The sequence below is a fragment of the Homo sapiens genome, chromosome 17 (assembly GCF_000001405.40).
Source record: "Homo sapiens chromosome 17, GRCh38.p14 Primary Assembly".
Classification (NCBI taxonomy): domain Eukaryota; kingdom Metazoa; phylum Chordata; class Mammalia; order Primates; family Hominidae; genus Homo; species Homo sapiens.
In genome coordinates, this window is record NC_000017.11 from 28,229,389 (window position 1) to 28,245,717 (window position 16,329).

The following is a 16,329-nucleotide window of genomic DNA, read 5'->3' on the forward strand; positions in this document are numbered from 1 at the left end:
GAGTTAGTTTCTCTGGCTCCCTCTCCCCACTCATTATCTTAGACCCACTTTCCATCCCATTTTGCTGCCTGTCTTCTCTCCTGCGATAGGACAGGTGGGATGGGAGCATACAGTGGCTACCCGGAGCTTCAGCTCACTGTGTGGGTGGGGAGTGGGAGGATGTGTCTGTGCGCTGGTGTCTGTGATCCCTTATCTATTGGTCTGCCTGGGAGAGCTGTAGTCAGTTTAAGGTGGATGGAAGAGAGACCTGGTATGAATTAGGCATGACCACAGACAATTTTTGCCCAGCTTGTCATGTCTCATTGACCATCAGTGACATGGGTCCACCTCATGTTCATTTTGAAGAGTGTTGAGCAGTTTAGGGTAATAATATTATTAATAACTATTATTAGTATAATAATTAATATAATAGCAATAATTACCTTTTCCAAAAAGCACTTATTTATGTGCTAGACTCTGAGCTGTTCGTTTTACATATATGATATTACTAGGATATTGATTTGGCTTAAAAAAACAGATAGAATTAACAGTGACTTAAACAGAAAGGAAATTTATTTCTCTTACCTGAAATGCAAGTGACATCTGGGGAGCTGGCCTCTCTGCTCCACGAGGGCATCCAAAAGCCCAGGCTCCTCATTTGTGGCTTCCCCATGCCCTCATCTATGTCATTGACAGGACTGAAGACAGCCTGCCATGACCTCATCTGTGTTCCAGCCAGTGGCAAGTGGGGGAAGGGAGAGGGTAGGTGCTCTGGTTACTATGTTGTATAATAAGTTACCCTAAAACTTGGCAGCCTCAAACAACCATTGTATGTCACTCATGATGTTGTGGGTCAGGACCAGGAAGCGCTCACCTCAGCAGTTCTCGCTTTGAGTCTCACATGCGGATACCATCAGAGGCTGGCAGATCTGCAGTTATCTAAATGATCCACCGGGCTGATGCCTGAGGAGTCTCACTCCCATGCTGGTGCCGGCTGTTGAGTTCAGCCGGGGCTGTTGACTGTCGTACCTACAAATGGGCTCTCCAGCACGATATTCTTGGGGTAGTTGGACTTACATTGTAGCTGGCTTCCCGCTTATTTCCAGAGAATTGGATGAAGATGGCATTGCTATTTAGTTTGCTAGGGCTGCTGTAGCAGGACGAGTCGCAGACAAAACTCCTGAGACACCGGATTAAAGAAGGAAGAGGTTTTTTATTCGGCCGGGAGCATCAGCAGACTCGCATCTTAAGAGCCGAGCTCCCCGAAAAAGAAATTCCTAGCCCTTTGAAGGGCTTACAACTCTAAGGGGTCTACGTGAAAGAGTCATAATAGATCAAGTAAGTGTGAGGAATGTGACTGTGGGCTACCTACATCAGCTAACACTACAAAAAGTTTTACAGTGCTTTCTCACACAATGTCTGGAATTTACAGATAACACCAGTAGTTTTGGTCAGGGGTTAATATTATTATCATTTTAACCACCAGGGCCAGGTGGTGGCGCCAAGGTCGTCTAGCTATTTATCTTTCTTCTGTTTCTTTCCAACTTTTTGCTTTCTCCCTTTTCTCCTGTCTTATAAACTAGGGAAAAGGGGAGGTTGGGGAGAAACTGGGAAGGACAACAGGAGAAGTGGTGGTCTCGTACCATATTCCCCCCCTTTGAGAATTTTCACTTTTTAGTGGGAGTTCTCACTCTCATCCTCACTTTCTGAGTCTCTTTGCGAGATAGAGCGATAGTGATTCATATAATACACGTGTGCTGAAGTTTTTTGATGAACCAAAGTAGCAACAAAACATTTTATCATTTGAAAAAGCAAGGGTAATACACAGGGGAGCAGCAAGCAAGTTCCTATTACTAGCACTACACCTACAATGAGGGTTTTTAATCCTCCTGTAGCTGGAAACCATTTTCCAAAGAAAGACTCAGGATCAAACTCGTGCCAAACCTGTACAGACACATGTGCCACCTTTGTCATGTCCCTGACTATGTTTTCAACCACCTGTCCTTGATCATCTATTTGTAGGCAGCAACTGGTTAAGTTAAATTTTTCACAAACTCCTCCTTCAGCTGCTAGCAAGTAGTCCAAGGCCAGCCTATTCTGAGAGATAGCATTCCTCATTTGGGTTTCCTGCCAAGCTAAAACAGTCAAAGTTTCATTAGTAATTATTTCTAAGATGGCCTGCAACCATATGATCTGATTGAGCATGTAGATGGGGATTCAGTATCCCCATGAGCTGTCTTGTGCCCATGCGGCAGGCCCATAATACTGTATGATCCTTTCAGGGGGCCACTCATTATCTTTCCAGTTTCCTATAACTATGCCTCTCTTGGGAGGCATAGACAGGGAAACCTAGGAGCTCACCCGTTTTTATGGGTAATAAGAAAAAGGACGGCTTAATAGTGCCAATAACACAACTGCCTGCCCATTTATTAGGTAACCGAATGTAGGCTCCGTGCCCACATATCCAGTATAGTCCAGCGGGAGCTGCCCAGTCCTGATGAGATTCTGGATGAGCCCAGGCAGTTTTTAATTTAGAAAATTTACTAAATGGGTTCTTTTCAGTGTGGTTTAGGCCCCACCAAGTAATTGTCTTTGTTGTGCTGTTGTACAACTTCTGTCCTATACAATTAAGCTTTCTTACAGGGATGATAAAGACTTTCCCTTCTCTAGCTATACAGTATTGTCCAATAATTGAGGTTTTTAGGACCCAGAAGTTGCTAGCTTGGGCCTTCTGAACTGGAATTACATCAGGAGCTGGATCAGTAGGCACCAACTCTCGGGCTTCCCAAGGCCATCGGTCTCCGATAGTGGTTCCCCCGCATACATAACAAGAAGTAACATTAAGGGAATGAGCTACATTTTCTGCTGATTGGATAAACAAATTTTTTGTCTTTTTCGGAAGTTCTGGTGCTGGCAGATTCAGCTCCTCATAAAAGGTTTGAAATACTGGCTTGGGAGAGCGCTTGTGGACCTCCCCTCTAATTAAAATGGCAACTTGGGGGTTTAACCCCGTCCCATCGATCCCCAGGGTTACACGTTCTCCCTTTTTCTAATGGGGATCTAGGGGATTGGTAATTATTAGTTCTAGTGGGTTACAGTGACCGGCAGCACAGGAAGGGTTGGCTTCCCCCTTCTGAAGATGAACCGGGTCTTTTTTGTTCTTTTTCCAAGTAGCCCAAATAACACATGGCCAAAAGGCACAATTTTCACAATCCCCTGACTCATGACAAACATATTTATTTTCTACTCTGTAGCTCCTTTCCCAGTTAAGAGAACCACATTCTGTTCCTAGTTTGTTACTATTAATGGCTGCACAAGCATCAAATCTTAAAATTATTTGTTTGGGGATTCCTTTTTCTTCTGTTCTAGTTATTATTTTACTTGTGTCACCTAGGAAAAGGCTAGTTCTTAATCTTGTTTCAAAAATGGTGGTTGCAGGGGGCTCAGATGGGTTATAACACACATCAGGTGGGTCATTTCCCAGGCTACATACCTTGTACTGAGTGGCATTATACAAACAAGTTTCTTTTAACATTCCCATATATTCATAATAACTATAGAACAGAAAGATTGTTTTAATTTGCTGTCCTACCTCAGTGACCTGATGAATACACTGGGAACAGTCCCCAGTTTGAGTAAGGTCAGTTGAAGCCCTTACTGTGTAAGTCCAGAATTTAAGAAAAATGAATCCCACGATGAGCTTCCTCATGCTTCGGCCGTGCGTGGACCAGTCAGCTTCTGGGTGTGACTGGAGCAGGGCTTGTCGTCTTCCTCAGGGTCACTCTGCAAGGGTCGTCTGGGCTTGGTCTTGCCTCCCAGGTTTCAGGTGCTGCAGGTTTTACACGGCTGTGGTGGATCCAGGCTGGGATTCCCTCTACCTTCACAGCGGTGGGAGTGGTCAGGACGACAGACTACGGTCTTTCCACCGTGGGCACAAAGAAGTTACGTTCCAGTCCTTGATCCACACTCGATTACCTGGGGAGAAAGGGTGAACTGGGGAGAATAAGCTAACAGGGCATCTCTCATTTACCCAGGCTGAGATTGTTTGTGTAATTTTTCCTAAAGCCTGTAGTTGTCGCTGTAACTCAATTTCACCTAACTCTCGGGGAGTGCCTGGAAGTCCCTGCAATATGGGAGGGGGCCTATGATACAATATTTCATAAGGGGAATATCCTGTTCTTTTAGAAGGGGTACATCTAATTTTAAATAATACCATAGGGAGAGCCTGTATCCATTTTAATCCTGTTTCCTGACATACTTTCCCTAAGCTATTTTTGATAGTCCAATTCATCGACTCCACCTTTCTGGAACTCTGAGGCCGGTAGGCAGCATGCAGTTTCCATGTGTTCCCCAATACCTTTGCCCTCTTCTGTACCAAGTCAGCCACAAATGCTGGCCCATTATCTGAGCCGATCCGTAAGGGCAGTCCAAATCTAGGAATAGGATCTCGAAGAAGCACACAGGTTACTTCACGAGCTTTCTCAGTTTGTGCTGGATAAGCCTCCACCCACCAGAGTAGGTACACACAAGAACTAGTAAATACTTGTTACCTCCACACTTTGGCATCTCTGTGAAGTCCACCTGGACATCTTCAAAGGGGGCTGCTCCATAAGCTTGTATGACGGGCGGAACAGCTGGACCTTGCTTCGCATTATGCTTTGGGCAGGTAACACACCGCTGCGTCACCGTTTTGGCAAGGGCTGACAAATGCAAGATGTAGAAATACCGGACTAACAACTTTTCAAGTGACTCCTGGCCTAGATGGGTGGTTTTATGCACAGCCAGCACAACTGCGGCTCCTAGCAGCTGTGGCACAGCTTCTCTCCCATCTGGTAACCGAATCCATCCTTCCTCCATCACTTGTCCTCCCTCTGCCTGGAGAAAGTCCTTTTCTTCTTTAGAATAAGTAGGTAAAAGATCAGGCGCTTGAGGGAGCAGGGGTGCTGTGACTGATGCCCGGAAGGGGGCAGATGCTGCTTTTCGAGCCTCTAAGTCAGCGCGGGAATTCCGCAAACCCACCAAGGTGGAAGCTCGCTGGTGTCCTCTGCAATGCATAACGGCCACCTTGTGTGGTTTCCATACTGCTTCTAATAATTGCAAGATTTCTTGTTGATATTTTATGTCCTTTCCCCCAGAGTTCAATAGGCGCTTTTCTTTATATAATGCTCCATGCACTTGAAGGGTTAAAAAGGCATACCGAGAGTCAGTGTAAATGTTGACAGTCTTACCTTCACTGAGTTCTAAGGCCTGAATGAAAGCAATGAGTTCAGCTTTCTGGGCTGAAGTGCCCTGGGGCAACGATCTGGCTTCAACAACAGTGCCCAGGGTTACCACCGCACACCCTGCAAATCTCTCTCCTTGTGGGTTGATGAAGCTGCTCCAATCCACGTATAGTTCCCAGTCTACTGATGCCCAAGGCTGGTCCCAGAGGTCAGGTCTGCTAGAGTAAACTGAGTCCAATACTTCTACACAATCATGCTTGACAGGGCTCTCTGATACCGGGAGCAAGGTAGTGGGGTTCAGGGTGTTACAAACTTCAGTGGTTATACGGGGATTTTCACAGAGCAAACTTTGGTACTTAGTGAGTCTAGCATTCGCTAGCTAATGATGTCCTTTAGTATTCGTTAAAGTCACCACAGCATGGGGGGCCTTTATGTTCAGGTTTTGCCCAAGAGTCAGCTTATCTGCTTCTTGTACTAGCAGGGCAGTTGGTGCCAAGGCCCTCAAACATGGGGGCCATCCTTTAGCAACCCCGTCTAGTTGTTTAGAGAGATAGGCCACCGGCCTCAGCCAGGGCCCCACAGTTTGGGTTAAAACTCCAACTGCCATCTTTTCTCTCTCTGACACATACAATGTAAAAGGCTTTGTCAGATCGGATAGCCCCAGGGCTGGGGCTGACATAAGTTTTTCCTTTAACTCATGAAAGGCTTGCTGTTGCTGGGATCCCCATTCAAAAGGTCCCGGTCCCCCCCACTTTGTGACCTCACACAAAGGCTTAGCTAATACTGCAAAGTTTGGGATCCACAGTCTGCAAAACCCCGCAGCTCCTAAGAATTCTCTCACCTGCCTTCTGGTCTTAGGCTCTGGCAGATTGCAAATGACCTGCTTTCTTCCTGATCCCAGGCTGCGCTCCCCCTGTCGGATAGTAAATCCCAAGTAATGTACGTGCTGTTGGCAGATCTGAGCTTTTTTCTTGGACACCTTATACCCACAGTCCTCCAGGTGCCGGAGTAGTGTGTCTGTTCCCTTGGCGCACCCGACTGCCGTGGGGTGTCCCAGCAAAAGATCAACATACTGGAGCAACACACAGCCTAGGTCTCTGGTGGGAAACTTCTGGTGGTCTCGAGCCAACACCTCCCCAAAGATGGTGGGGGAGTTCTTGAACCCTTGGGGAACCCGGGTCCAAGTGTACTGAGTAGTGACACCTGACTCCGGATCTTCCCACTGAAAGGCAAATAGCTTCTGGCTCTCAGGGGCTAATCTGATGCTAAAGAAAGCGTCTTTCAGGTCCAAGCAGGTGAAGCAGCTGTCCTCAGCTGGCAGCAACCCCAACAATGTGTACGGGTTAGGTACTGTTGGATGTAAAGTCACTGTAGCTTGATTAACCAAGCGCAAATCCTGTACCGGCCTGTAGTCCTTGGTCCCAGGCTTGGGAACAGGCAGGAGGAGAGTGTTCCGTGGAGACTGACAAGGAACTTTAATTCCAAAGGTTCTTAGGCACTTGAGATGGACCTGGATACCTTCAAGAGCTTCTCTGGGGACCGGGTACTGTTTTTGCCTAACCAGCTGGTCCCCAGGCTTAACTTCTATAAGTATGGGGGCTTGGTTGACTGCCAACCCTGGAGGGTTGTCTTCAGGCCACACTCTTGGCCACCACTTAGCCAGAGCTGGTCTTATCTCTTGGCTCAACTCAGTTAAGAAAAGTCTCCATTCCTCCTCTCGGGGGACCGTAAGGGTCATAATGACTCCCGTTCTGGGTAACTTTAGCAGCAAAGAGCCATGCTCTGTAAAAGAGATAGTGGCTCTCAGCTTGCTAAGCAAGTCCCTTCCCAACAAGGGCAAGGGACAGTCAGGCATGTACAAAAACTGATGAATCACTTTATGTCCTCCTACAGTACAAGTCCGGGGCAAGCAGAAAGCTTGTTTTGCTGAAACTCCCGTGGCTCCGATTATGTCAATAGTCTTTTTGGATAAGGGGGCGACCGGGGCGGTTACTACCGAATGTTCAGCACCGGTATCTACAAGAAAATCAATGTCTTTACCCCCAACTGTCATCCTGACCATAGGCTCTTTGGGGGCCCTTGAGCCCAGTCCCCCTCAGTCCAATAACCCTTCTGCCAGGTTGAGCAGGGCCCCTTCCTCCTTGTCTGGTGCCTCCTGCTCCAAGTCACCTTGTTTTCCTTTTAGCTGAGAGCACTTGTTCTTCCAATGTCCTATTTCTTTACAATAAGCACACTGATTACGCTGCAAGCTCTGACAGCCAGGCTGAGTTTCTTTCCCGGGGCCCCCCTTCCCTTGCCTCTTTGGGGGGTCCCCTCTGATTGCTGCAGCTAACAGATCAGCGTTTCGCTGGGCCTGACGTTCATTCTCTTTCTGGTTTTCCTTACGGCTTACTGCATCCCTGTTTACAAACACCTGGTTAGCTATTTCTAATAACTGTGATGTGTTCATCCTTGCAAACCCAGCCTGTTTCTGCAGTTTTCTTCTAATGTCTTCTGTGCTTTGAATAACTAAAGCCATGTTAATCATGCACTGATTTTCAGGGCTATCGGGATCAAAGGGAGTATACATACGATAGGCCTCACACAGTCTCTCGTAGAATTGTGCTGGACTTTCTTCTTTTCTCTGAATGACCTCAGAGACCTTGTTAATGTTTGTGGCCTTCTGGGCTCCCCTCTTTAATCCTTCCAAGAGAGCTTCCCTGTATCGGTTTAGCCTTTGCATATCCTGTCTTTCATTTGGGTCCCACTGGGGGTAGGTTCCCAGTAACTGGGTCCTTACATCCTCTTGGGGGTTTTTGTAATCAGTCGGTGCATGTTCCTCTAGCCACTTAGTTGCTGCTTGGAGCACTCTCCGCCTTTCATCTGTGTTAAAGAGGAACATGAGCAACTGGTGGCAATCAGCCCTAGTGGGGTTATGGGTCTGGATAATAGTTTGGAGCAAATCAATTAGAGCTTGTGGCTTTTCAGTATAGGATGGGGTATTGCTTTTCCAGTTGAGAAGGTGGGCAGAGGTGAAGGGCTGGTACCCAAAAACACACCTCTCCACCACGTGACCATCCTCATCTATACCAGTATACTGCTGCTCTCTCAGGGGCATTTGTATCCCAGTTTTGTGTCTTAAACGAGCTGCCAAGGGAGGGGTTTCTCCCGAGGCTTCACCTCCTCTCTTGTCTACTGTGGGTGGCCTAAGGATATGTTTGTCTTGCGGAGGTACAAGCACTGTGGAATCAAAAGTGGGGAGCCCCTCTCCCTGGTAAGGGGAGGGCACCACTGGGATCACTGGTGCCATCTCCTGCAATGTATCTTCTGATGTTGGGTTGAACAGAACTTTAGGAGTTGGTTTCCCTCAGACGGTGGAGCGGGATCCTTCCTTGGCTATCTGTCCCTTTGCTACTAGCACTGCTGCTGCCTGCCCTCTTAGCCACTGTGGGGGCTCTAGCACCAGCTGTAACCAAGTGTCTATGCATGGGAACTGGTCTGAGTGTCCTGACTTACCAGTTACCTTGTGCCATACCTTAGAAACAAGGGACCTGTCCAGGCTTCCTTCTGATGGCCAACCCACTTCTAATGTTGGCCAATCTATTTCACACAAAGTTCTAAGTTTCCCTGGTGTCATAGTAACCCCATAGTGTCCATTAAATCCCTTCTTAAAATTTTTCAACACAGTTCCTAGCGGAGTAGGCTTACTTTGTGTCTGACCCGTGTTTCCTCAAGACAAAACACCAAGCTTACACCACACACACACCACAGAACAAAGAACAGGTAAAAAGGGCACACACACACTTTTTCAGTTTACACCAAACCAGAATCAAAACCAAAATCCGAGTATCCAGAAGTCCAAGCCAGGTCAAAACCAAAACCAAAATATCAAGCAATTCAAGTCAAGTCAAAAACAAAAACCAAAGTGCCGGTACAGGCACGCCATGGGTGATCAGGCCACGCTTCCACTCAGATGGAGTGGGCAAGTTCCAAAGACCAGTCTTACCAAGTTTCAAATGTCCGGACTCCAAGTGCCCATTCCTTCCCGGTGTTCAGCCACTGCGTTGATCCTCCACAGGGGCCTGCCACGCACTGCTCTGATGAGGCGTTCCACCGGGGCAATTGCCTACCCGGGAGTGGTCTCAGGATCTGCGTCACTCAAGCTGGCCAGAGTCCCCCACAGGGATGCTCCACAGGGCAGGCCTAAGCCACCTAAGGGGCTGCCTCGACCCTCCGTCCATCAATTACCTCGCTTCCCAGGCAGGGAACCAAGAAATGTAGCAGGATGAGTCGCAGACAAAACTCCTCAGACACTGGATTAAAGAAGGAAGAGGTTTTTATTCGGCCAGGAGCATCGGCAGAGTCGCATCTTAAGAGCCGAGCTCCCCGAAAAAGAAATTCCTAGCCCTTTGAAGGGCTTACAACTCTAAGGGGTCTACGTGAAAGAGTCATCACAGATCAAGTAAGTGTGAGGAACGTGACTGGGGGCTACCTACATCAGCTAACAGTACAAAAAGTTTTACAGTGCTTTCTCATATAATGTCTGGAATTTACAGATAACACCAGTAGTTTTGGTCAGGGGTTAATATTATTATCATTTTAACCACCAGGGCCAGGTGGTGGCGCCAAGGTCGTCTAGCTATTTATCTTACTTCTGTTTCTTTCCAACTTTTTGCTTTCTCCCTTTTCTCCTGTCTTATAAACTAGGGAAAAGGGGAGGTTGGGGAGAAACTGGGAAGGACAACAGGAGAAGTGGTGGTCTCCTACCATACTGCCATAGTAAAGAGTCACAGACTGGGTGTTTAAACGACAGTTCTGGAGGCTAGCAGTCTGAAATGAAGGTGTTGGCAGGGTTGATTCCTTCTGATCTGTTCCAGGCCTCTCTCCTTGCCTTGAAGATGGGTGTCTGAGCTGTGTTTCTTCACATCATCTTCCCTCTATGCATGTCTATTTCTGTGCCCAAATTACCCTTTTTATAAGACCAGTCCTACGGGATTAGGGTCTCACACACTGTAGTATGACCTAATCTTAACTAATTAGATCCACGATGATTCTCTTTCTAAATAAGGTCACATTCGGAGGCAGCAGGAATTAAGACTGCATCATATGAATTTGGTGGGGGGCGGGGACATGCAATTTAACTTATAACAATTGCTTTCCGTGACCCAGCCTCAGAAGTCACATGGCATCCTACCCCATACTCTGTTAGTCAAAGCAGTCACAAGTGCACACACATTCAAGAAGAGGGGACATAGACCCCACTGTAGAATCACACATGAGATAGGAGATATTTTTGTGGTCATCTTTGAAAAATATAATCTGCCACAGGCAGACACATCCATTCCTAAAAACAGAATGGCAAAAATCACTTTAACTCTCAGCCCACTGGTTAAAGCCTAGTCTCATGGCCCCACTTAGCTGCAAGGACAACCTATGAGACATCTTTAGCTGAGTGTCTGCGGGCCCATCGCAAGCTCTTTGTTTTTAAAAATATTTTTATTTATAAATGGATTTTTTTGTTGTTATATAACAAACCTACATATGTACCATCTCAAGCTCTTTGATGATGAAAGGAGAATGTGGATATTTGGGCACCTAGAATTATCTGCTAGAAACATGATATCCTTTGGATGTCATTTAGAAATCATTGGGTCCTATCTCTTCATTGAACCAATGGGAATCCCAAGGCCAAGAGGGAGAGAGGCTTGCAGGAACCCATAGAGTGAGGGACAGAGGTAAGAGTTCTCATCCCAAAGCAGTTCTGTTTCTACTAAACACGAAATCTAAACTATTTCCTGGAAACTCCAGGCATTTCATAACACCCCTTCCTCCTCCTCCTGCAATTCCTCAGTGTGTGCCCCTAAAGTGCTCAGCCCCACTGCCACAGCCCCACTTCTGTGAAATAGCATTTCCCCCTGCCCCAACCTTCAAGGCCACTTCAGGCCTCATTCCCTCCAGGAACCTTCCTGCCCTGCCCTCCCTGTTCACCTCCCCAACACTGTATTTTGTAGCTTGGTGTAGTCTCTATTTCAGCAAGAAAGAAGCCGTCCTCTTTGAGAACAATTTGGAGTGGCAATGATAGGATTTGCTGTTGCGGACACTGGAGACAGGAAAGGAGAAATATCTAACTCTCCCTGTGTGTCTTCAGGAGGCCCTGGAGGCACATGGAGTTTCCAGGGCAGAGAGAAGTGGAGGCAGAGCCCAGGCTCCAAATTAGTGGAGTGAGCCCCCACTGGGTCCTGAGTTGGCTCAGAGTGGGTGAGACAAGGTGCTCAAGGTATGCGTGTGGGTGTCACAGCTATCCCCAGAGCAAAGGTTTCTCTAGGGCATAGGTCCTGGCATCTGGGGACAGCTACCCCCCAATTTACCCCCGTCCTCTGCTGCTGCCATTCAATTTTGGAATAAGACATTGGCCTAAGGGCTGGGCCAGGCTCTGGCCAGTGGCAGAGGTCGGGGGCGGAAGGGTGGTGTCTGGAAACAGGGATAAAGCCAGGCTGGAACCATGCAGACCGGGGTTTAGTCTTGACGCTTCCTGACTCCCATGTGACCTTAGACAACCTCAGCTACCTCACTGGGCCTTGGTTTTCTCATCTGATAAGAGCAAAGAGTAATTCCTGCCTCCCTCACAAGGTAGCAAAGAGGCATTTGTAAAATGACCTGTGAGGAAGTTTCTGAAGTGCACCCTTAGGTGAGGGACGGCTGCCAGCTTGCTGGAGGGCCACAGCCAGCTTCTTCCCTTTCTGAACTTTCGTGTCCTTGCTTTCAAAAAAAGCCACCCTGGCCAGATGCAGTGGCTCACGGCTGTAATCCCAGCACTTTGGGAGGCCAAGGTGGGCAGATCACCTGAGGTCAGGAGTTCGAAACCAGCCTGGCCAAAATGGCAAAACCCTGTCTCTACTAAAAATACAAAAGTTAGCCAGGCATGGTGGCGGGCGCCTGTAATCCCAGGTACTCGGGAGGCTGAGACAGGAGAATCACTGGAACCCGGGAGGCAGAGTTTACAGTGAGCTGAGATTGTGCCACTGCACTCCAGCCTGGTTGACAGAGTGAGACTCTATCTCAAAAAAGAAAAAAATCCCAAAACAAAAAACCGTCTTGGCTGGGTGCAGTGGCTCCCTCTTGAATTCCAGCACTTTGGGATGCCGAGGCGGATGGATCACTTGAGCCCATCTCTACACAAAATTAAAAAAAAAATTTGGCTGGCTGTGGTGACACACACCTGTGGTCCCAGCTACTTGGGAAGCTGAGATGGGAGGATCCCTTGAGCCATGAGGCAGAGGCTATAGTGAACATGATCATGCCACTGCACTCCAGCCTGGGTGACAGAGTGAGAGCCTGTCTAAAAAAAAAAAAAGCAAGCCATCCCCCGGCTCCTCATACAGCTTGAACTTCCTTGCAGAACCTTTGCTTCTTCATCTCCTCCCGCTGCCCCCACCAGGCCCAGAACAGATGTGCAATAAATGACCACTCGTTGGTCATTCACTGAAAGCAGCAGAGATTGCAGTTAGACAGCTAAGACCGGGGCTGTGATGGAGGACACAGTGCAGGCCAAACTGCTGCCCTGGGGTCACGTATGTGGGGACCCCATTCCCTTTGCTCCTTTACCTGCCTCGTTCACTCTGTGACCTCAGGTGTTTCTGGGGTGTTCCTCTCCTAGTCTCATAGCACTTACTCCATCCCCATCACTGCCAGTGGCCATCCTCCTTGTGCCAGAGGGCATGGTGTTGGGCAGGGGAAGAGGCACCACTATCATCTTCATTTAGTGCATCTGCAGGCCGTGAATTGGTGATTTCAGATCAGGGCTCTGTGGCAAGCACTATGGGAGTTACTGAAAAGGGGTTCTGATTCAGACCCCAAAAGAGGGTTCTTAGAGCTCCTGCAAGAAAGAATTCAGAGTGAGTCCACAGAGTAGAGTGAAAGTAAGTTTATTAGAGAAGAAAGGAAACAAGGGCCAGGCGCGGTGGCTCATGCCAGTAATCCCAGCACCTTGGGAGGCCGAGGCAGGAGGATAGTTTGAGCCTGGGCAAAAAACTGAGCCCCCATCTCTACAAAATAAATAAATAAAAGGGAAGTAAAGAAACAGAAGAGGGCCGGGCACAGTGGCCCATGCCTATAATCCCAGCACTTTGGGAGGCCGAGGTGGGCGGATCAGCTGAGGTCAGGAGTTCAAAGCCAGCCTGACCAACATAGAGAAACCCCATCTCTACTATAAATACAAAATTAGCCGGGTGTGGTGGCACATGCCTGTAAACCCAGCTACTCGGGAGGCTGAGGCAGGAGAATTACTTGAATCCAGGAGGTAGAGGTTGCAGTCAGCCAGGATTGCACCACTGCATTCCAGCCTGGGCTGCAAGAGCGAAACTCCATCTCAAAAAAAAAAAGAAAGAAACAAAAGAATGGCTACTCCATAGGCAGAGCAGCCCCCATGGCTGCTGGTTGGCTATTTTTACGGTTATGCCTTGATCATATACTAATAAACAAGGGGTGGGTTACTCATGAGTTTTCCAGGAAAAGGGTGCGGATTTCCCAGAACTGAGGGTCCCGTCTCCTTTTAGACCATGTAAGGTAACTTCCAGATATTGCCATGATATTTGTAAACTGTCTGGCACTGGTGGGAGCATCTCTTAGCATGCTAATATATTATAATTAGCATATAATGATCAGTGAGTCCGGGCGTGCTCACACCTGTAATCCCAGAACTTTGGGAGGTCGAGGTGGGCAGATCACTTGAGGTCAGGAGTTCAAGACCAGCCTGGCCAACATGGTGAAACCCCATCTCTCCTAAAAAAAAAAAAAAAAAAAAAGAACAGCAAGGATGATCAGAGGTCACTTTCATCACCCTCTTGTTTTTTGCATGTTTGTACCAGCTTCTTTATCTCATTCTGTTTTATCAGCAGGGTCTTGTGACCTGTATCTTGTGCCAACCTCCTATCTCATCCTGTGACTAAAAATGCCTAACCTCCTGGGAATGCAGCCCAGCAGGTCTCAGCCTCATTTTACCCAGCCCCTGTTCAAGATGGACTCGCTCTGGTTCAAACGCCTCAGACAGGAATACATGAAGATGAGCGAGCATTGCTGTGTTCTAGACATGGTGACATGGTTAGGCTTTGTGTCCCCACCCAAATTTCATCTTGAATTGCAATTCCCATTGTCCCCATGTGTCAAGGGAGAGACCAGGTGGAGGTCATTGAATCATGGGGGCAGTTTTCCCCATGCTGTTCTCGTGATAGTGAGTGAGTTCTCATGAGATCTGATGATATTATAAGATGCTATTCCCCGCTTTGATCAGCACTTCTCCTTCCTGCCACCTTGTGAGGAGGGTGCCTTGCTTCCCCTACGCCTTCTGCGATGGCTGTACATTTCCGGAGGCCTCCGCAGCCATGCCAAACTGTGAGTCAATTAAACCTCTTTCCTTTATAAAATTACCCAAACTCAGGTAGTTCTTTTTGTTTTTCGTTTTGAGATGGAGGCCCAGGCTGGGGTGCAGTGGCACGCTGTCAGCTCACTGCAACCTTTGCCTCCCAGGTTCAAGCAATTCTCCTGCTTCAGCCACCCCAGTAGCTGGGACTACAGGTCCGAGCCACCACATCTGGCTAATTGTTGTATTTTTAGTAGAGATGGGGTTTCACCATGTTGGCCAGGCTGGTCTCAAACTCCTGACCTCAGGTGATCTGCCCACCTCAGCCTCCCAAAGTGCTGGGATTACAGGTGTGAGCCACCGCGCCCAGCCTCAGGCAGTTTTCTATAGCAGTATGAAAAACGGACTAATACACATGGACATGCAGTATAGAAAGCACATCCACTACCACTTCCTCCTAGATTGTCAACACATCTCTGAGAGGACCCAGAAGAGGAATCTGTTGTTTGCAAAGAAGAAAATGAAAGGTGCAGTTTGGCTGACATTTGTGGAGTACCTGTTATTTCTTAGACACTTAGGTTTATCTCTGCGACAGAACAGAACTATAAGTGGCCCAGGCATCTGAGTCAATCCCTAGACCCACGTCTGTCAGGTGGGGCTGGGTCCCGACACGAATAGCAGCCAGAACAGGTCCCTCCAGGCCATGGTCCTGTGGAAGCTTCAACCCTTTTAACTAGGGTTGGAGCCTGGTGCCCCATGATGGTGAGCTGCAGCCTCTACCCACCAAACCCAAGGCCAGCCTGAGACCAGCCACCAGTTCACACCTTGTTTTGCAAGTGGAAAACCTCAGTCCAGAGAAAGACCCAGGTTTGCTGAGACAGAACAACTTTCATATTTGCCTTGTGGAATGTAAGTTGTCTGGTGAAGCATTATTGCTCTTCTTGTTACCAGAAATCAAAATTGAGAGGATCGGCCGGGCACAGTGGCTCATGTCTGTAATCCCAGCACTTTGGGAGGCCGAGGCCGGCAGATCACTTGAGGTCAGGAGTTTGAGACCAGCCTGGCCAACATGGTGAAACCCCATCTCTACCAAAAATATAAAAAATTAGTCGGGTGTGGTGGCACGTGCCTGTAATCCCAGCTACTCAGGAGGCTGATTGGGAGAATTGCTCCAACCCAGGAGGCGGAGGTTGCAGTGAGCCAAGATCGTGCCACTGCACTCCAGCCTGGGTGAGAGTGAGACTTCATCTCAAAAAAAGAAAAGAAAAAAATTGAGAGGATCAAGGCAGAACACTGATGTTCGCTGAGCCTTCCTTTATTCTCCTTACCTTGAGATGGATGTGATGAGCTCATTTTACAGAGAGGAAAAGTGAAACTCAGGGAGGCTAAAGAAATTACTTTCCCAGGCTCATGCAACCAGCCAATGGCGGAGCCAGGATTTGGACCCAGGTCTATCTGACTCTAAGCTCACCCTGCCAGATCCATGGAGTTTCACCTCTGGCCCCCTCTTCCCCAACAGTACCCCCACCAACTTCTTGGTGTCCTGATCTGGGACAGCAGAACGTCAGCACTGAGAAGTCCTTTTCTCCCTACTTGGGTGTCACCGTGTCATTCAGACACAGTTACCACTCCTTGGCCTGAGCAGGGGAGGGAGACTTGGGGTTGGGAAGAGACACTGGGCAGGGGAAACCTGGGGGCTTCTGGTGGGGATGGGTTAGTGGGGTTGAGAATCTAAGCCAGAATTGGAGACCTAGGTAGCTATGAGATCTTGAACAAGCCTCTTTACCTCTG

The 16,329-nt window shown here is 48.1% G+C and overlaps 1 annotated feature.

The window, feature by feature from the left end:
* Nucleotides 9,475-9,769: a silencer, noted in NCBI's record as "tiled region #13006; HepG2 Repressive non-DNase unmatched - State 13:Ctcf". NCBI's record gives its function as "represses a minimal TATA promoter and a strong SV40 promoter by Sharpr-MPRA in HepG2 cells {active_cell/tissue: HepG2}" and the evidence as "EXISTENCE:reporter gene assay evidence [ECO:0000049][PMID:27701403]".